Source organism: Homo sapiens, chromosome 9 (genome assembly GCF_000001405.40).
Source record: "Homo sapiens chromosome 9, GRCh38.p14 Primary Assembly".
NCBI lineage: Eukaryota > Metazoa > Chordata > Mammalia > Primates > Hominidae > Homo > Homo sapiens.
In genome coordinates, this window is record NC_000009.12 from 127533935 (window position 1) to 127555495 (window position 21561).

The window sequence follows — 21561 nt, forward strand, 5'->3', positions numbered from 1 at the left end:
TGAATAGAGGTGAGTGCTATGGCCTTGAAGGCAGGCCCAGGCCACATCAGGCTCAGCACGTGTGCTCCTGGGTGCCCCCATGTTCAGATGAAGGAGGAGGCCCAGAGAGGGTCTCGGACCCATGAGGGGAGAGGCTTCCTGGTCCTAAGAAGCTGCAGCTCGCGTCCCAACTGGGATTTGTGCTGGCCCGCTGTGCGGCTCCCCTCTCTGAGCCTCGGTTTCCCCCATGCACTGAGAGGCTGCATTCGATGACGGACAGGCCCTGCCATCTCTGACAGTCTTGGATTCCAGGTTTCAAAGACCTGGTCCTTTCTCAAAACAGGAGCTGGCAGGAACCTGCCCCTCCCATGGCCAGTCTCCAGGTACCGAGGGCACCTGGCTAGGATGACATTTCATTCCATCCTCTCTATAGTTCTGTGAGGGAGAACCTGTGTTATCCCCACTTTACAGAGGAGGTAACTGAGGCCCAGGGAGGTTAAGTCACTGGCATAAGGTCACACAGCCAGTGGGTGGTAGAGCTGGGATGCAGTCCTGGGTCCCCACCAGGAGGTGGTGGCCTGGGAGGAGGGCTGAAAGGGCATGTCACACACCATGCCTCACAGCTCATAACCAGGGTCCCAGGCATGTGACCTTCCTGGGTGTCTGCCCACACCCCGGGCCCTGCCTCAGTGATGGGGGTGGAGGGATGCCCCCCAACCCCTCTCCACAGACCCTGTCCCTCCCTGTACTCCCCTTTCCTGGAGTGAGGTCATGTCTGTCCAGATTCCAGTTTGGGGGGAGGAAGGGGAGAACAAATGAGGAATTTGCTTTGAATGCCTATTTTTTAAAAACCATAAACAACCAGAACTCTCTCTGAGACCATGGGAATTGTTTTGAAAAATCATGAGGCAGAGAGGGGGCAAATGGAAGAGAGTCATACATCGGGGATAATAGAGAAAAGAGGATGGAAGCTGACAATAACATCGGTACCATGGTTGTCATCGTCATGGCCACCACTTGCAGAGCATTAAACCCGTGCTACGGCAGGTTTTACGTATGTGAACCCAGAGAATCTCCATGAGAACCCCAGGAAGCCAGTGCTGTTGTTTTCCTATTTCAGGGATGAGGAGTCAAGCCACGCACCCCACAGGCATTCTATCAACGTGGTCGGCAGGATGGGCAGGCTTGGGCCTGCAGGTCTCAGGGTTCCTTTGGCCGTGGCTCCAGGGCCCCCAGCCAGCCCCAGTGCACCCAGCCCACAGACAGATCCCAAAGGGCTGGAGTCTGCCACCCTGGCCCTCACGGAGCAGGCCCTGGAGGGAGCTGCCATTGCTGTGAGGACTCGAACACAGGTCTGCCTGACCGCAGCCCGTGCTCAACTGCCCGGACAGCACAGTCCAGATATGGTGTCCAGGCAGGGAGGAGCTGGGTTCAGAAAGGCCCCTGGGCTGGGCTGGGGAGGACAAAAGAGGGCAAGACTGAGCCAGGAGAAGGCCCAGGCATGTCCCACCGAGGGACAGTTAAGGCCCAAGTTGGGCAGGCTGTGGACTGGAGAGGAAGCTGCAGGAAGCTCTGAGGAAGGGAGACATGGGAGTGCAGGGACCCCGCTGCCTGTCAGGGTGGGAGCTGAAGGTCAAGGCTGAAGGTCAGGTCCCTGGACCAGCGCAGTGCTGCCCACAGGCCTAGGGCCTCGGGCTGAGGGGACCCAGGCAAGGGCCAGGGGTCCAGGATGCAGTTCCCTCTAGGTTTGTCACGTTGGCCCCAGGTGGGGCTGGAGTCGCTCACTATCCAGGCTTGCTCTCAGAATTCAGGAGCCAAATGGGTCAGGTAGGGAGGGCCAGGAACTCTGCTGGAGGGGTCTGGTCTCCTTTTGCTCACCACTGGATCCTGGGCACCAGGCCTGGCACAAGCAGATGTCGGCAAGGGGAGGAATAGTGGGGGTTTGGTCCAGCAGCCAAATAGTTACTAAGTCCAAACAAGGGAAGGCCGTGGGGCAGGCATCGGAGGGGGTACTGAGGGAGCGCCATGCTGCAGGTAGGGGGACAGCATTAGCAAGGGGTTAAGGACCTTAAGGACGGAGCCCAGGCAGCACCGGGAAGCCAGCTCCGCTCAGAAGAAGGGTGGCGACCACGGGAGAGCTAGAAAGGGAGGACCATGGGAAACAGGGCCACGGATGGCTCCTTGGCAGGGGTAGCCCCGAGCACATTCTTGAGAGATGTCCTCAGCCAGCATGGAAGGAACCGCCACGTGCTTTGTACAGAGGAAGTAACCCAGAGACGCAGAAGATGAGGACTCGGGTGCTGGGGACCCCAGGTGTGGAGGCCAGAGGGACCCAAAAGGCCAGCAGCATTGGGAGGGGGCCAGCCTGGACAAAGGGCTTGCAGGGCCTTCCTGGCTGGACCCTGCTGGAAGAGGACCCAGGCGAGCACTGCAGCCCTGGTGGGGGCTCAGCCAGAGGACCCAGCCTGGCCACCGCCTTACCTGCTGAGCTCTGGGGCTGCAGTCCAGGCAGGCCCCACCCAGTACCCCACTTTTCCTTCTTGCTCCCTGCAGTGGCTCTCCCCCGGCATTGTTGCTTCAGGATTTTACAACTCAAATTCCCACATGGCGTCCCGGCCTGGGTGTCTGTGGGGGTCCTGAGCCCGGGCACCCCTCTTTCCTCCATACTTGCCCACAGCAGCTCTTTCCATTTCCTGCCGCAGCCTCTGGAGACACCACACGCCACGGATTTGGGGCAGATGTTGGACAGGGCCTCCAACACTCAGGCTTACCACCCTGTTAGGGGAATGTGAGCCAGAGAGGGTGAGCAGCTCAGCTGAGGTCACACAGCCAGATGGAGGCAATTAGGTTCGAGCCATAGTCGGCTGCATGCCACCCTCCTGGTCCTAGCTCTGGCCATTGTCTACAGGGCCCCACAGGCCCCCTACCTCCCCTTAGAGGGCAGAGAGGAAACTGGCTGTGCCCCCATCTACAGAGGCAGGGCTGGCCCGCAGGTCCTGGGCCCAGGAACTGGGGGGCTCCAGCTGGTGGTAGAAATCACTCGCTTCTGTGAGCTACAGAGAGGCTGGGGTGGGGTGGTGTGAAGGTGTGTGCCAGCTTCGTCACTTTCCACATTATCTCATCCATTCTGCCTCCCTGCATTGACTCTGCCCCAGGTGCTGCTAGGTGAGAAGGCAGGGAATGGAGTGGGGCAGGACTCACAGAGCCTGCCCTGCGGCCCCAGGTGCCCAGCCTCCTGGTGAGGAGCTTGAAGTCAGGACCAGAGTCCCCGCCCTGCCATATGCCAGCCCTGCAAGCGCCTAGCTCTCAGAGACTCACATTCTTCATTTGTAAATGGGCCTCTCCGAAGCTGTTCCCGAGCTCTGAGCTCTGCAGGACCGGATAGCGTTTGAGGTGCTCAGCTCCAGGCCTCCATAAACGTCACTGTTAATCATCAGTGTCCTCAGCTGAGAACAGCAGTCATAAGAGACTGTTTGAAATGTTTATTAGCAGTATAACTTTTATAGTTTGAAATAATCCAATAAAGATTTGTTTTCTGAAGAACCGGGACAAGAATCACAAAATAATAATGATAATGATGGGAGGCCTTCCACAAACAAAGATCACAGATGCGGGGAAGCCAAGGGGGACAGCAGGTCCCTGCGTTTGATGGGGGGTCCTGCCTAACCGTGGCTGGGATCCCCTGGCATAACCCTTAGCCTCTGCTGGCGCCCAGAGCCGTTGGTTGCCCCCTTTTCGCTTTCTGCCAGCAGGAGGTAAGCCCACGCCCATCAGACACAGGGCCCACCTGTTCTTTGCCCCAACACACACCATTCTTCAAATGGCCCAGAGGGAAATACAACCCTCACTTTACAGCTGTATGAACCGAGGCTCAGAACAATTAAACAGCTCAGGAAAGGCCACTCTGTCAGTCCACAAAACCTGCCGAGGCCCCTCACAGAGGTTGTCACAAAAGGCGCCTGCCTGTTGGGGTCCCGGTTCCCTTCTTAGCCCAAGAGGGCAGTGTGTGAATTCTGGGAGTGGAGTTGAGTCCTGATCTGTGCCCAGGGACCTCAGGAAGCCACTCCCATCCCAGGCCTCTGTCTCCACCTGGTGTCTCTATGGGTACTGGGCTGCATCCACCTCTGAAGAGGCCACTTTTGGGGATGCAGGTCCAGGGCAAAACTCACAACACACACTTGTGGGTTTGTTGTGGAGCTGAGAGCCAACCCTTTCAGCAAGTTGGTTGAATAAGGGGGTGCTCTGTGGATCTCAGGGGGGCTCTGCTCCCCATATGACTGGAACCCTGTCTCCAAGGGCTGCATCCTATCGGGTTATTGAGGGTGACTGAGAAGGACCCCCTCACAAGCCAGTCCTCCTAACTCTGCCCCTGGATCCCCAGAGTTTGCCAGGGATAGGTGCCTATCCACCGACAACTTACTGCATGCTCCACAGCCTGTTTAATCCTAACAGGTATTAGTATCCCATCTGACAGATAAGAAAAGTGAGACTCAGGCTAAACACAGCGGCTGCCACCCAGGAAGCACTCAGTGAGTGTCACATGGCTATTTAGAAACGCAGTTGTGTGGCCAGGCATGGTGATGCGTGCCTGCAATCCCAGCTACTCAGGAGGCTGAGGCAGGAGAATCACTTCAATCTGAGAGGCAGAGGTTGCTGTGAGCCAAGATCGCGCCACTGCATTCCAACCTGGGAGACACAGTGAGACTCCATCTCAAAGAAAAAAAAAAAAAAAAAGAAATGCAGTTGTGCGGCCGGGCACAGTGGCTCACGCCTGTAATCCCAGCACTTTGGGAGGCCGAGGCAGGCAGATCACTTGAGGTCAGGAGTTTGAGACCAGCCTGGCCAACATGGTGAAACCCCATCTCTACCAAAAATACAAAAATTAGCCAGGCATGGTGGTGGGCGCCTGTAATCCCAGCTACTTGGGAGACTGAGGCAGGATAATTGCTTGAACCTGGGAGATGGAGGCTGCAGTGAGCTGAGATTGCGCCATCGTACTCTAGCCTGGGAGACACAGTGAGACTCCATCTCAAAAAAAAAAAAAAAAAGAAAGAAATGCAGTTGTGATCACATCTGGAATTCACTATATACTTAAAATGGATAATTTATACAAAGACTGTGTATTAGGGACATCTCATAGTAAGAAAAATTAAGGATCGAGCTGACTGATCTTTTGGGAATGATAGATATGTGGAAAAATACAATAAAGATCTAATTTGGGTCAGTCAAAAAAAAAGAAAGGAAGAAAAGTGAGGCTCAGAGAGACTCACTGACTCACTCAAAGACACACAACGGAGGGGAAAGAGGTGGGTTTTGGACCTTGTCTCCCACCAAAGCCTGCACAGAGCCCTACCCCGCAAAGCCTCTCATCCCAGTGACCCCTCACGAGGACCCGCAATGCCGCTTTCAAACCCCTGGTTTTCCACTCTCTTGCTGGGGTCTTGCCCAATCCCAAGAATGAGGCAACACAAGGCTTTACTATCCTCATCTTACAGACGAGGAAACCGAGGCTCAGAGGGCAAAGTGACTTTCCCGAGGCAACAGCTGGCAGGTGTCAGAGCCGGGACTGAGGTCTAGGGTTTCCAGCTCCACTGGCCCCTGTCGGGTCGGAGCTGGTGGAGAATCATCCGACCCACTGGAGCCTTACTTCTTCATCCTCACTGGGCCCTAATTTTCCCACCTTTAAAATGGGAGGGTGGGTCCCTGTCAGCTCAGCTGACCGAAAATCTCAACGACAATCTAATCAGTGCTGCCCTGGCCCCAGGAACTGACCGGGATGCTGGCCTCAGCCCCTCCTGTGAGCTGCTGGTGAGTCAGCTCTGACCAGCAGCTGATCACAGCCCCCTCGGGCCAGACAAAAGGACCCGGGGGGAGAACTAGGCACCCCCCATCACCTGCAAACAGGGCACCATTTCTACATGGACACACAGGCTCTGGGTCCAAGTCCCAGCTCTGCCACCTATGAGCTGTGTGGCCTTGGCTAAGGCACTTCTCCTCTCTGAGCCTTTATTTTCCCCTCTGCAAAATGGCACAACAGTATCTGCCTGAATGGGTTATGAGACAAACGGGCTACTGAGCATGAAGCCCTTTACCCTGGCAAGAAGGGGGCACTTCACCAATGGGGGCTCCTAAGAAGTGCCTCTTGTCAAGGTTCCTCTAACCCACAGTGAGGCCCTTGAAACAGAGGCTGAGCATGCAGCCTGGCCCACCCTGGGACCAGCTCCAACAGCAGCCAAGGCGGCCGGAACGTTAATTAATCTCTGATTTTCCAAACTGACAACGTTAAGGGCCACGCTACTTCCTGTGCAGATAGTGAGGCTGGGCAAGAACTGGGGAGGCCCCAGGGTGGCCTGGAGGCTTGGGGAGCTGGGGGATGGGGTACCAGGCCCACTGTGCAGATAGGGGAACTGAGGCTCAGAGAGGAGAGGAGGCTTGCTGAGCTGAGAATGGAGGAAGGAGTCCAGGGGTTCTCAGAAAATGGACCTAAAAAGGCGTATCCCGGAGGGCCTCGAATGCCAAGCTAAGGAGTTCCTTCTTTGCCTTGTCATGACGCTCCCCAAAGCCACCATGTGCCGCTCCTGTGCTAAGCATTTTGCTTGGACACGTGCCCCCGATTCTTCAACTCAACCTCGGGCCAGGTGGTATTGGTACTGGCAGAACATTTCAGACCAGGTGACCGAGAACTGGGTACCTCTGCCAAATCACTCTGCTGAGAAGAGGCAGAGGTAGGATCTGCACCCTGGTCCCGACCTGATGCCTAAGCCTGAAACCCTGTTCCACACGGACGGGGGACCCAAGAGGAAGAGAGTCATCTCCAGCTGCGACCACATCCAGCTCATGTCCACCATGGGGGCTGCACGCCGGCGCCAGCCCTGGTTTGGCCCCAGTGGAGGGCGCTGTGCCAGACCCGTTCCTGGCTCATCCGGTCTCTCCAGTGGGCTCCAGGGACACACCTCACCCACGAGGCCCAGCCCGGTTTCAGGGTTTCAGGGCTGAGAGGTTTGCCGACTGAAACCAGGCAGGTAGCAGCACCCTGTAGGGTGGGGCAGGCTCAGAACCTGCCCGCCTGGTTCCCAGGGCATAGGGAGCAGGTCCAGCATGGGGAGGTGGGGGAAAGAGGGGGGTGCCGACCCCACCCACCCTACAGTCCAGGGACCAGCAGAGGCAGAGTCGGGGCAGGGACTCCATTCTCGCAGGTCTCAGAGTTGTCCCAAGCACCACCATCTCCATCATGTGCCTGAGACAGCAGGGAGAGCTTGGGGTCCAGAAAGGTGGTGACACTCTCCTAGGGCCACACAGCACATCCAACAGAGCTGGGTTGGCATAGACCAGTGCCTCGCTCAGGGCCTTTCTACTTTCTACTTGCCCCCCACCTACTGTCACAATCGACACACAATAGCAGCAGCCACTTGTCAGCACCACCTCTGTGCCCAGCACGGCACTGCACATGCACACTCATTATTTCACGCACTGTCCTCACTTCCCAGAGAACACTGAGGCTCAGAGAGGTTAAGGGACTTCTCCAGGGACACACAGCTTGTAAATGACATGAACTCTGAACAGGGAACCAACGTTTGGGCAAAACCATCTCACCCTGGCCTCCGCAGCACCAGCCTGTGGGTGGCCTCCACGGGAAGGGCAGACACAGGGCTCCTGCTCAGGACCTGTAATCAGGTGGGAAGTTGGGGGTGGGAGGGGTAATGACAGGCTCCATCAAGTAGCAGGAGGGGGACCAGCAGCCCATCCACGAGAAGAGCCTGAGCCAGCAGCCAGAATCTGGCAGGCCAGGAAGGAGGAGGACAGCTGAGTGTCCCCCACCCAATCAATTCCTGTCCAGAAGAGGGACCATACCAGAGAAGGCAAGGGACGGATTCAGGGTCCCTCCATGAGCCATCCTTGGCAGAAGGGGTACAACAGCAGACCCCTGGGACCCCCCTTCTGGGCCTGAGAGAAACAGGGCCTATGGGATTCCCACCCCACCACTACCTGCCCCCTAGCACAAGCCCAACAGGGTGAGGCAGGCTCCCCAGCACCCAGGGGCCAGTCAAGTGGCCACCCAGCCTGTGCCTCTAGTCACTGCCCCCCAGCCAGGCCACTCCCGTCCTGTGCCCGCCGCAGCCACTGAAGTCCTGCCTACTCCATCCTGGCTGCCTCTGATCCTTCCCACACACAGGGGCCACAGGGGAGTTGCCCAACGTTTCCTGGCTCAGAAACCTTCCAGTGGTACAGCTCCTACTGCCTCTGGGATGGAACTGAGCTCCTTACCATGCCCGCAGGCCCAAGTCATCTGGGGTCTCGCAGAGGCTGCTCCCCATGTCCGGAATACAGTCTTCCGCCAAGCTCACTCCTCAGCCCACCACCATGCGTCTTTCAACTGGAAAGCCCCAGGCTGGGTGGGAGCCCTCCACCTATTCCCGCAGCCCACCGCTGGCCTCCTGGTGGGTAAAGGTCTGTTCCTCATGTGGCTCCCACAGGCAGCACCCCTGCTCCTGGGGCAGGGCCTGGCACGCAGTGGAAAAGGAAGGGAAGCCCACAGCAACAGGCCAGAAGTGCCAATCTCAGGCCAGACCCACCCCCAAAAGAGAGCCACGAAGCCACTGAGCAATAAGCCCCCACACACCCCGGAGATTCCTCACCACGGAAACGGAGGCTGACATCGGAGCAGGCCCTTGGCTGGGTCCTGGGGATGAGGAAATGTACACTGTGCTGTCCTTCCTTGGGAAGGTGGCTGCCACCGACATTTCCCCCCCTGCTGGCCTCAGGTGCCCTGAAGGGGCCCTTGGCTGCGTCACTCTTCCCTGAGGCCAGTTTTGTTTTGTTTTGTTTTGAGACGGAGTCTGGCTCTGTTGCCCAGGCTGGAGTGCAGTGGCACGATCTTGGCTCACTGCAACCTCTGCCTCCCAGATTCAAGCAATTCTTCTGCCTCAGCCTCCCCAGTAGCTGGGATTACAGGCACCCACCATCACACCTGGCTAATTTTTTGTATTTTTAGTAGAGATGGGGGTTTCACCATGTTGGCCAGGCTGGCCTCGAACTCCTGACCTCAGGTGATCCACCCGCCTCAGCCTCCCAAAGTGCTGGGGTTACAGGCGTGAGCCACTGTGCCTGGCCCCAAGGCCAGTTATTAACAAGGAAAAACCTCTTCCCTTAAAGACAGCATCCCTCAGCACGCCAAGGCCCGACAATGACAGCCGTGTGACCCTGCGTGAGCCAGCCCTCAGCTAGGGACTTCCAGTGCGAGATCATTCTCGACTCTCAAAATGGCCCAGGGAGAAAGGCTCTGTCTCCACACCAGGAACAAAAAGGCACAGAACAGTTAGGGAGCCCTCCTACCCCGAAGCTAATGGGTGTCACGCTGGCTGGGGACACCTCACGCCATCTGACATAGACCCGGACAACAGCTGCAGGAAGTGGTACAGGAATCACCCCCGATCAAGACAGAGGCTGGAAGGTCCAGGGCCTTGTCCCAGGTCAGCCGGCTGTCAAGCAGGGAGCCAAAATCCAAGCTGGGGTGTGAGCCCAGGCTGGCTGAACCTAGACTCCACGGGCTGTGGAAACATCTGGAAGATGGTTGCATGAAGCACTTTGTAAAGGATCTCTCTGGGCTCTGATGGCCCCAAGAGACTATGGACTAACTTGTCACCACAGGCCTGGCACACTGAAGCCCACAAGCATGTTACACAGAATCACATCCAAGATCCGCAACCTCAGCCCCGCTCTCCTTCCCATCCCCACACCCTGGGCGTCTCTCGCCTCCATTACACATTTCCTACCTCCACATCTTCATCCATGTTGTGTCCTCTGGCTGGACCGCCCTTCCCTTCAATTCCACAGTTCACAATCTTAGCCAGACTTTCAAGGCCCTGCTCACCCATCCTCTCCTCCATCACACTGTTCTTCAGTTCCCCACTTGCAGAAAATTATAATCATAATTGCAACATGAGCTAATGCATGTAACAGTTAGTTCTGTGCCAGGCACAGAGGCAGATCCCATATATGCTAAAAATTATAGTCAACATTGTTTCATTTAACCCTCACTGGGACGTACTGCCAAACCCACTTTATGGATAAGGGATCTGAGGCTCCTGAGAAGTTAAGTGACTTTCCCGATACTACACAGGGAAGAGCAAAACTGGGATGTGAAGGCAAGCCTGCTTCTGTTCGCTGCTCAAACTGTGCTGGAAGAGAGAAGAGCTAGAACCATTTGCTGACTCTCTGCTGGGACATTCCTTGCTCGACTGGCAGCTTCCCAGGTTGGAATGGTATCTTGTTCACTTCCGTATCCCTGGTACCTAACATGGCGCTGGCCTTGGGAGAGGAGGGTGGGTTTCTCACAGAGACGGGTATTTCTGGAGCCATGCTTAAAACAAGAAGCAAACCCTGAGCTCAGAACAGCCTCTCTGGGCCTCAGTTTCCTTATCTGTAAAATGGGTATAATGTCATAGTCCTCCACCACCACCTCACAAGGTTGCTAGGGCAGGGAGCACTCAGGAGATGTTGGCTTTTGTTGCTAACACCAGGATAGGGCTGCATGAACCCTATAAGGGCACATGGCTGTTATTCTTTTTTTCTTTTATTTTTTTAATTAATTAATTAATTTTTTTTTTGAGATGGAGTCCCCACTCTGTTGCCCAGGCTGGAGTGCAGTGGCATGATCTCAGCTCGCTGCAATCTCCGCCTCCCAGGTTCAAACAATTCTCCTGCCTCAGCCTCCCAAGCAGCTGGGATTACAGGCATGTGCCACCACACCCAGCTGATTTTTGTATTTTTAGTAGAGACGGGGTTTCACCACGTTGGTCAGGCTGGTCTCGAATTCCTGACCTCAGGTGATCCACCCGCCTCGGCCTCCCGAAGTGCTAGGATTACAGGCATGAGCCACCGCACCCGGCCATGGCTGTTATCTTGGCCTTTGGTGCTGGTAGAATCCCTGCCATGGCACATTCCCTCATTCATGGGCCAGCCACATACTCCTAAGAGGCCACTGGACCTGGGAAGGGACCTCCAAGATCAAGTCCAAACTATCTTTTGGACAGATGGGGAAACTGAGGCTGGGGAAATGGGGAAAAGCTGCCCAGGGTCCCATTGCCCTGTTAGTGTCCCAGCTCCTCTGAGACCATCTTGGGGAGAAACAGGTGAATGGGGCTTTCACACCCAGCGAACCCAAGCGAACCGCAACCTCAGCCCCTCAGCTTCCTCCTCAGCGGAGGAAATCTGGCCTCTGGCCTTGGGGTCCCACGTCTACAGTGCCCTCCTAGCGTCCACCCCTTGTGCCTGGCCAACTCCTCTTTCTCCTCCCCAGGCTCAAGTGCCACCTCCTCGGAACCCTCCCTCCAGACAAGTCCCGGCCTCCCAGGTCTCCACAGCCTCCCTGGCCTCCACTCCCACAGCCCCTGGCCTGCTCCCCGGCACTCCCCTCAACCACAGTTAATGCCTCATCTGAGACGCTCCCCGGACTGAGACTGCTCTCCGCTGTCTCCCCAGCACCCAGCTCCCGCCAGGCCCAGGGGGGTGCTTGATAAACAAGTGCCGAACAAGTGTTAGGTCACCCAGCCTCAGGCGCCAAACAGGTCACCAGGGAGGCCATGGTGGGCAGGGACTCAGTCTGAGGGCACAGGCCGTCTGGGTCTCATCACAGAGGCAGGTCAGGCCCAACAGAGCCAGGAGTCAGCTGGGGTTTTTCACAAGGCTGCCTTGAAAACTCTTCTCGGTTGGCAAATATTTAACCAGGGCTGGGCCACAACAGGTCTGGTGGGGAAGGGTGAGCTTTGAGGCAGGAGGGCTGGGAGGAGAGGGCGGGGCTGAGGCGGGAGCCCAGAGAAATGCACCCAAAAAAACGGGTGACCCAAAACCCGCCCACTGGGGCTGCCCTTTCCTTTACACCTCGAGGCCGCCTGGTGGGAGGAAGTCCATTCCCATCTTGACACAAACAGAAGGAAACAAAAGCCCTCTCATCCCCTCCTGCCCCCCACCCCGCCTGCCTGGCAGCGGCCCCAGCCCACAGCCCACAGTGGCAGCTTGTTCTGGGAGCCCAGGATGAGGCATGCCTGCCGTCTGGGAACACAGATCCTCGCTGGGAGGGCAGCCCAGGGGGTGCCGAGGCCCCCAGCAGCGTCACCACCCAGAGCAGGACCCACACTCCAGGGGGTGGGCACCCAAGGCTGCCATCCTGCGGCCCCCTGGCCAAGGCCACGCCCAAGGAGGAGGCTGATCTATGACAGTGATTGTGTAGACACGACCCTCCTTTCCTCTCACATGGAGTCACCCTTTCCTGTTGACTTTTTCTCCACAATGTCTCTGGCCTTCATTCCTTTCTTGTCATCCTCACCACCCCCACAGGAGCCTGAGCCTTAGCCAGCCACCTGTCAAAACTGCCCAGGCCCCAGAGGAGCATCCCCACGCCTGTCCACAGGTGCTCCTCATACCCCTTCTCTCAGTCACGTCCAGGGCCGAGGCTGGACTGGGAACCCAGGGTGCTCTGCTGTGGCTCGTGCACATTGGCAGGTGCCCCCCACGGGCCTGGACACCTGCCCTGGGCCTGAGAACCCACCACCAATGTTCCCCTCAGCGTCCAGCCTGGTGTTGGACCTTGAGATATGCAGGAAGAGCCTGTGGTCAAGCCCTTCCCCCAAGATGTCCGCAGTGTCAACCACTCAGCCCCGCCCCATCAGACAGGTCACAACCACTGGGGCAGGGCTGAGGACAGGACCCAGCCCAGATCCCATGTCCTCCATCAGCCAGCGCGGGCCAAGCCAAAATGGCAGATGTCAGGCGAGTCACCAAGTTCAGGCGAGGCTCTGAGGCTTCATCACGATGGCCAAGAAAGGGTTTATGTTGCTCTCACTCATTCATTCAGCAATCCTGGCCACTGGGTACTCAGGAGAGAGTACCCTAATGAGGGAGGCAGATTGTCAACAAAAACTACAATTACTAGGAGCCCCAACTGGGAGAAGCACAGGAGGTCACAGGAGCCCAGGAAGGTGACTGACCAAGCCTGCAGGGTCACGGAAGCCTCCCAGAGGGAGGTAGCAGCTGAGACACAAAGAGTCCCTGCTAGGGGAGGGAGGACACCGGGAAGGGAGTGTGTGCCAAGCAGAAGACCCGAGAAAGGCCAAGATTCGGACAGGCATGAAAGAGTTAATCCATTCCACAAAGATTTATCAGCACGTCCTAGGTCAAGAAGGACCCTTCAACAGTGCAGTGTCAAGGTCCTGGAACCAGATCTCAGTTCAAATCCTAACTCCACCCTTTGCTGGCTATAGGACTTTCAGCAACACATGGCTCAATTCTCTCTGAACCTCTGTTTCCTCAGCTGTAACATGGGAGTAACAGCAACCTGGCCAGGTGCGGTGGCTCACGCCTATAATCCCAGCACTTTGGGAGGTCACCTAAGGTCAGGAGTTTGAGACCAGCCTGGCCAACATGGTGAAACACCGTCTCTACTAAAAATACAAAAATTAGCTAGGCATGGTGGCGCATGCCTATAATCCCAACTGCTCGGAAGGTTGAGGCAGGAGAATCGCTTGAACCTAGGAAGTGGAGGTTGCAGTGAGCTGAGATCGCGCCACTGCACTCCAGCCTGGGCTACAGAGCGAGACTCCATCTCAAAAAACACAACAACAACAACAACAACAAAAAACAGCACCACCGGGCACGGTGGCTCACGCCTGTAATCCCAGCACTTTGGGAGGCCAAGGTGGGCAGATCATCTGAGGTCGGGAGTTCGAGACCAACCTGACCAACATGGAGAAACCCTGCCTCTACTAAATATACAAAAGTAGCCAGGTGTGGTGGCGCATGCCTGTAATCCTAGCTACTCAGGAGGCTGAGGCAGGAGAATCGCTTGAACCCTAGAGGTGGAGGTTGCAGTGAGCAGAGATCGCACCATTGCACTCCAGCCTGGGCAACAAGAGCGAAACTCCACCTCAAAAACAAAAAAACAAACAAAAAAAACCCAGCAACTTTACGATCCCCCATCTTGCAAGGTGTCATAAGGATTCAATGAAATGAATAAACCCACAGAGCCTGGGCAAATGTGGGCTGGTGTTATCAATGGCAGTGATGGAACCTCTCGAAGGAGCTCCATCTGTCCCAGTATTGGTGGCCAGGACATAAATGGTCAGGGTGCCCAGTGGCATCTCTCATCAGTGCTCATGGCAGTTCTCTGTCCCATGTTTCACGCCACGCAATGGGAACCAGCAAAGGGTGACTGGAACAGCACCTCCCTGGTCCCTCAGCTGGTGGGTCATGAGATTAAAAGGTGACATGCTTGGGGTCCAATCTTTCTGGACCCTCATCTCTCAGGTTAATTCATCAGGAAGGAGAAGTGGAGCAAGAAACATCAATGAAGACTTCTGAAAGCCAACACCCAAACGTACCGCACCCCTGAGAACCTCGACCGACCACAGCCCCCCTGCTCTGTGACACTGGCATGGAGAACACTCTGGCCTTGCCGCCTCTCCCTTAGCTGCTGCATCCATCACCAGAGATGCTGGTTGGGAAAATCAAGGGCCCTGAGTCCTCGTCCAGCTCTGCCGCCAACTCACGTGTGGCCCTGGGCAAGTTCTGGTCTCTCCAAGACTCTGCTTCCTGTAGGCAGCCTTAGGGGGTGGAGAAGTCCAAAGACCAACAGTGCTTTGTTGTCACCAGTCCCTGAACTCCATGAGGGCTTTCCCGCTGTCTTGCATTTGTACTTCTCTTTTTTTCTCTCTTCTCTTATTGCATTGACTAAGACATCCAGATCGATGCTAATGAAAATACCTCTAGGGTTTCAACATTAAGCTTCAGACTTGCTTGGTATGTGATGAATGAAGCTGTGACGGGCTAAGTACCACATAGGGGCTGCTCAGGGAAAGGAGGGAGGACTTGTTCCTCTCCCCAAACCTTAGAGTTGGACAGTTCCCTGGAAAACAGACGCTGGGGAAGTCCAGCCGTAGCCACGCCCTATTGCCAAGCAGAGCCCATTCTCAAGTCATCCACAGAAGACACACAAGATCCCAGCAAGGGCTTTCTAACGGCCTCAGATGCCCAGGATAAGGGACCCTGGCGGGTAGGGAAGGCCTCATCACTGGAGGTGTGTAAGCAGAGGCTGGAGGGTCAAAGAGCACCCACCTCCAAGAGTTGGTGTGAGGACTAAATAAGATGTGTGAGATGCACCTGTCACCCTGCCTGACTCCCAGGAAGAGCCCAATAAATGCCAGCTTCTGTTCCAATAAGAACTAACAGCTAATAAGTGCCAGTCACCATGGCCCAACCCCAATGGAAAAGGACTAAACTCGGATACACAAACCCCACAGATCTCATCAGCCAAGCACCCTCTACTGCTAATATCCTTTCCCTAAGCCCAAGTCAGGTTCTTCCCAAGTTGCCTCGTGACCCCTGCTCACCCACCATTCACACACACGTGTATGCCCACACGCATGCACACTCACACTCACATGCATGCCACACACATGCACTCACATGTGCATGCACATGCACGCACACACACTCACATGCACGCCCACACGCATGCACTCACATGTGCAGGCACACACACGCACATTCACACATGTGCATGCCCACACACATGTACACTCACACACCGTGCATCCACTCACACACATACGCACACTTACACATGTGCACACACATGCATGCTGCTGCCTGCAGCTTCTGGCTTGCAGGGTCCTCTCAGTGAGTGGGACTGGGGAGGGGCGATTCTGCCTTCTCAAAGCCAGGGAGGGAAAGAAGGGGAAGAAGAGAACAAGAAAGATGAGCCAATATGAAAATCCACTCGTGTGCTTGCTGCTGGGCCAGAGGAAACCCAATCCCAGATTGGAATGCCAGGGACCCTTTACATGGATAGAAGGAAAGTTTATTCAAATAACAAGACTCCCTTGGTCTGTACTCTAAGCTCAGCGAGCAGCAGGTGCAGGGCTTGCCCCACCCTCAGGTCACCAGCTGCAGGTGTCCTCAGGCTCCAGAGGGGGCCAGAAGGGGAGGTGGGAGAACGGCTCCCCTCCCAGCCCCGCCAGCCTCCCACTCTCTGTCCCAGGTGCCTGCGTGACCCCATTTGTGCGCCCTGAGAGACCCTGCGCAGCCAACAGCCTCTGTGGTCTTGGTCTGCTTCCCCGGGGGAGTCCCTTGAGGGTGAGTGGGGACCGCCTCAGTGTCTCCCCATCACTGGCCAGTGAAATGGGGTGGTGATACAGGGCTAAGAGCACTGGGCCCCAAATCCATGTACCTGACTGCTGCTGAGTGACCCTGGACAAGCCCCCCACCCTTCCTGGCTCCCTGTCTCCTCCCCGTACCGTGAAGGGACTGGACACCATGGTGCTGGACCCTCAACGCCCTGATGCCCTCCACCTGGGACATGAGACAACGCTCCTTCCTGACACATTGGGAAGCCCAGAGGAGCCCACCATTAAGCCTTGATAGAACTGACCTGAGTCCTAACTGCCAGCCTAGGGTGCTGAAAAGCACTGTCCCTGACTGTTGCCAGCTCGCTCACACAGGTCAGACCCCTGTTAGTCATTAGCACAACTTTGCTTTAATAATTCATTGTTCCATCTCCATTTGCCCTAGGAGGGCAGGGACCCTGTCTGTCTCACTCATAACATATGCCCAGCATCTAGCACAGCACTTTGCACAGAAATATTTATCCCCTGACTATGTGACATTAGACCAGAGCTCTGCAGTTCAGTCTCCCAGTCATGTTAAGACACCAGAGGAGGATGGCATATTCCCAGAAAGGTTAACTCCAGCTTGGGGACAGACACTTCCCAGCCCCCAAGGTCCATATAAACCAGGGCCTCTCCAATCCCAGTATGGCCCAAGAGGCAGGACCCTTCCTGCAAATATAGGGCTGGGTTTGGGGCTGGGCCAGGCCAAGGTCACATATCAGCAGCAGAAAAGGTCACTACCTCCTCATGGAAACTAAGGCGGTCACCTAAGCTCAGATCCTCCGCGTCCTCTTCCTGCTTGGATCCTGTCAAGTGATCCAGCACCTGCAAAGAGCCGGGAAACCAGAGCTGGCGGATCCTGCACTTCAACCCCCTGTCCCGTGTGCTGGGCCGGTGAAAGGCCTGGGTCCGCCAGCCACTTCCCTGGGGCACGCACGTCACTCTGCTTCTGTGTTCCCATTAAGAAAAGGGAAGCCAGTGATCCCCACCGCACAAAGGGACAGATGGAACGGCACTTTGAAAAAAAACTACCGGCTAGGTGCGGTGGCTCATGTCTGTAATCCCAACACTTTAGGAGGCCAAGGTGGGTGGATCACCTGAGGTCAGGAGTTCGAGACCAGCCTGGCCAACATAGTGAAACCCCGTCTCTACTAAAAATACAAAATTGGCAGGGTGCTGTGGCTCACACCTGTAATCCCAGCACTTTGGGAGGCTGAGATGGGCAGATCACCTGAGATCAGGAGTTCAAGACCGGCCTGGGCAACACGGTGAAACCCCGTCTCTACTAAAAACACAAAAATTAGCTGGGTACAGTGGTGGGCACCTGTAATCCCAGCTACTTGGGAGGCTGAGGCACGAGAATCGCTTGAACCCAAGAGGCAGAGGTTGCAGTGAGTAGAGATTGCGCCACTGCACTCCAGCCTGGGCAACAGAGCGAGACTCTGTCTCAAAAATAAATAAATAAAAATATAAATAAATAAATAAATACAAAATTAGCCAGGCGTGGTGCACATGCCTGTAGTCTCAGCTACTTGGGAGGCTGAGGCAGGAGAATTGCTAGAACCCAGGAGGCGGAGGTTGCAGTGAGCTGAGATCACGTCACTGCACTCCAGCCTGGGCAACAAGAGCAAAACTCCATCTTAAAAAAAAAAGAAAGAAAGAAAGAAAAAGAAAAGAACTACCACAGTGTCATGCACATGGGAGCTGCTGCCAGGCTGGCAAGAACCACAGCACCGATCTCTGGGAAGTTTTGGTTCCCTCAATGCCCATGCTCTGTCTACTCTGGGCCTCTGCAGACCTGCCCTCTGCCTGAAACTCTCTCCTCCTGTATCCTTTGTGGCTCACCTGAGAGGTCCCCTCCCATGAGCTCAGCCAGCAGCAGGTGCAGGGCTTGCCCCACCCTCAGGTCACCAGCTGCAGGTGTCCTCAGCTGGGCCTCCCATGACTCTCCAGGTCTGGGTTATGGCTGCTCCCTGGCTCCCAAAGATGCCCTAAACCCCCACCTCTGCTGGCGTGCCATGCTGGGCCTGTCTTCCCCAGACAGGGGTCCCCAAGAGGTTGAGGACCATGGCCGCCTCCCCACCCAGCACCCCCAGTCCCAGCACACAGCCTGACACTGAGCAGAGATGGCTCTCAAACCATGCGGAATCAATGGCTCAATCCCATTAATTGATTTAAGCTTTCCAACACAGCACTGTTTACAACAACAAAAAATAGAGCCGGACACCATGGCTCATGCCTGTAATCGCAGCACTTTGGGAGGCTGAGGCAGGAGGATCACTTAAGGCCAGGAGTTTCAGACCAGTCTGGATGACAAAGTGAGAATCCATCTCTACGAAAATTTTTTTAAAAAATTAGCCAGGCATGGTGGCACAAGCCTGTAGTCCCAGCTACTTGGGAGGTTGAGGTGGGAGGATTGCTTGAGCCCAGGAGATTGAGGCTGCAATTGGCCATGATGGTGACACTGCCCTCAAGCCTGGGCAACAGAGCAAGATGCCATCTCAAAAACAAACAAACAAAAAAGAAAAATAGAAAAAGCCTAACTGCCTGGCAATAGGGCTTTGACTGAGTAAGTTAAAATATAGACTATTGAGGCGTAATGGAATATTCGTTTTTTTTTTTTTTTTTTTTTTGAGACAGAGTCTTGCTCTGTCACCCAGGCTGGAGTATAGTGGTGTGATCTCAGCTCACTGCAACCTCTGCCTCCTGGGTTCAAGCAATTCTCCTGCATCAGCCTCCCAAGTAGCTGAGATTACAGGTGTCCACCACCACCACGCCTGGCTAATTTTTGTATTTTAAGTAGAGACAGGGTTTCACTATGTTGGCCAGGCTGGTCTCCAACTCCGGACCTCAGGTGATCCGCCTGTCTCAGCCTCCCAAAATGCTGGGATTACAGGCATTAGCCTCCTTGCTCAGCCATAATGGAATATTCTGTATCCATTCACAAGGAGGAGGCCCACTACTCACTATTAAGGTAGAAGAACAAATTATGTATCAGGAAGGTGCCTGAAAGTCTTTTCTGGGTGGTAGGATTATCGGTGATTTTCATTTTCTTCCTATTACTTATCTGTTATTTTCTAATTTTCTTTGACCACTAGCTATTGCTTATGTAACAATAATAATAAAAGGTGAAAAACAATAAAGGGGGAAGACTGGGGAAGCTCAAAGTTGAAAGGCCAAACCTCCAGAGCTGTGAGAACCTGACCTTTGGCAGATGCTGCCAGGTGGGAGCCACAGTGGGTCTGAGGGGGAGGCCAGAGCTCACCGCCAAGCAACCTGATATAATACCATCCTGGCCATCAAGTTCAGGCTGCTGAGGCTCCTCCAGGAGGGAAGGAGTTCCCTGGCTGGGGACTGAACCCCGAGGACGGAAACTCTTCCTGAGTATTTGCTGTGTGCCAGGTACCAGGGGTGGCCCTGGCATGAAGCTCACAACAACCCTCTTGAAGGTAGCTGCAACCATCCCTGTGCTACAGATGGGTAAGGGAAAGCAGAGAGCTGAGGTCATCATGGAGACAGGCGGAAGGGAAGCCCTAAACACAGCAGAATGGGGTCTTCGTGCTCAGCCTCGTGCAGCGCATGCTTCTGGCCACCCAAGTTCTATGCCAGGTACCAGCATCCTGTGCATATTACCCTGGGGACCTGGAGCTCTGTCTGGCCTGGAGCCCTATCTTGCTCAGTTGCCCAGGCTGGAGAGCCGTAGCATGATCCAGCTAATTGCAGCCTCAACCTCCTGGGCTCAAGCAATCCTCCCACCTCAGCCTCCAGAGTAGCTGGGACTATAGGCTTGTGCCACCATGCCTGGCTAATTTTTTTTTACTTAGCAGGGACACCTCCGGACTGGAGGTCTGATGGGTCATAGGCTTTCCCAGTTGGATGGTACCCAACCACTCCTCACCACCCCAATGCCCCCACCCACGCCCGGCCTTCAGCACTCATCACGGAGAGAGACTCTTTATTTGTGGAATCCATCTGCCATCTCTGGGCTAAACTACCACAGTCCTATCTGCTCACAGCCACTGGGGGCTCAGAGGCTGGGCACACAGACAGAGCCTACCTAACACAAATTTGTTGCTCTCCTTGCCCTCATCACAGAAACTGAGTCCTCATTCTAAAGTCCAGCTAACAAGTGTTCATGGGAAGGACTCTCCATTCCCCAACCCCTTTGCCTGGCACTCAAGGCTGTGCTCAGCTCCCTGCCTTGGATAAGCAAGGGTCTATGCCAGGCCATGCCCTCCACTCACCCTTACCCCAAGTCTGCTGGTTAAAAATCCCTCCTGTCCTCCAAGATTGAGCTCAAACACCCCTCTTCCAGAATTTTCTCTTCCCTCTTCCCCGCTCCGGAGCCTGCCCTGTGCTTGCAACCCCCTTGGGGCTCCAGTCGGGCCAGAATGGCTTAGATTCTGAAGTCAGACAGGAATCAAATTGTTCCACTAAATACAGTCAATAGGGTTATTCTTTTCTTTTTCTTTTTCTTTTTTTTTTTTTTTTTTTTTTTGCTTTTTGAGACAGGGTCTTGCTCTGTCACCCAGGCTGGAGTGCTATGGCACGATCTTGGCTCACTGCAATCTCAGCCTCCCAAGTTAAAGCAATCCTCCTGCCTCAGCCTCTCGAGTAGCTGGGACCACAGGTGTGCAACCCCATGCCCGGCTAATTTTTGTATTTTTAGTAGAGACGGGGGGTGGGGGTTTCACCATGTTGGCCAGGCTGGTCTCAAACTCCTGACCTCAGGTGATCTGCCCACCTCAGCCTCCCAAAGTGCTGGGATTACAGGCGTGAGCCACCAAAATGCTGGGATTACAGGCCTGAACCACTGCACCCACCCAGGTTATTCTTTTTGATTTAATCCACTCACTGTAAAAAAACAAAAAACAAAAAACAAAAATCAGGAGAGAATAAAAAAATTAAAATAATCCATTATCCCACCACTCCAAAATAACCTCTATTTATATTTTGGTGAATTTCTTTCCTTATTTTGTTCTATGCCTATACAAACATACACACTTTCAGACATACAAAACTGAATCATCACTTTTAATGGCTTCATATTATGCCATTGAACAATGCCTGTTAATACATTGTTTCCATTCCATCCCCCATGCTGTAATGTAACCATTTTGTTACCTAACGCGGTACATTCTAGATGTGAAATGTTGGGGTGGGTTTCTCCCAGGGCTTTGGGCCACCTTTCTGCTGTCCTGTGTATTGGTGGAGGGAGTGGGAAGGGGGACGACCACCCTTACCAGCCCCCATTTCCTGCCTAGCCTTTAGAAGATCCCAATACTTTAGTCACAGTGGTTTCTGTCTAGGGACACACAAAGGAGGGATTTAAAGACAACAAACCCAGCTCTCGCTGCAGTTCCACAGTCCCCAGGCTAAAACCCCGAAGCCAGCCCGCCCACCCAGAACCATGGGGGGCCAG

The 21561-nt window shown here is 54.9% G+C and overlaps 1 protein-coding gene and 1 long non-coding RNA gene across 5 annotated transcripts in view, besides 1 other annotated feature; both read right to left on the reverse strand.

Moving 5' to 3' along the window:
• Positions 1–21561, reverse strand: part of NIBAN2 (niban apoptosis regulator 2) — a 73689-nt gene that overhangs the window by 28592 nt on the left and 23536 nt on the right. The gene's annotated exons all lie outside the window — the stretch shown is intronic.
• LOC105376281 (uncharacterized) lies at positions 2651–8684 on the reverse strand. Its single transcript, XR_930372.3, has 2 exons — positions 3298–8684; positions 2651–2754 (listed from the first exon to the last, which is right to left on the reverse strand). It is a non-coding gene; the product is annotated as an uncharacterized LOC105376281 (long non-coding RNA).
• Positions 18122–18621: an enhancer, noted in NCBI's record as "H3K4me1 hESC enhancer chr9:130314335-130314834 (GRCh37/hg19 assembly coordinates)". NCBI's record gives its function as "activates a minimal SCP1, AML or CMV promoter by ChIP-STARR-seq in primed H9 embryonic stem cells {active_cell/tissue: H9 hESC(primed)}" and the evidence as "EXISTENCE:reporter gene assay evidence [ECO:0000049][PMID:30033119]".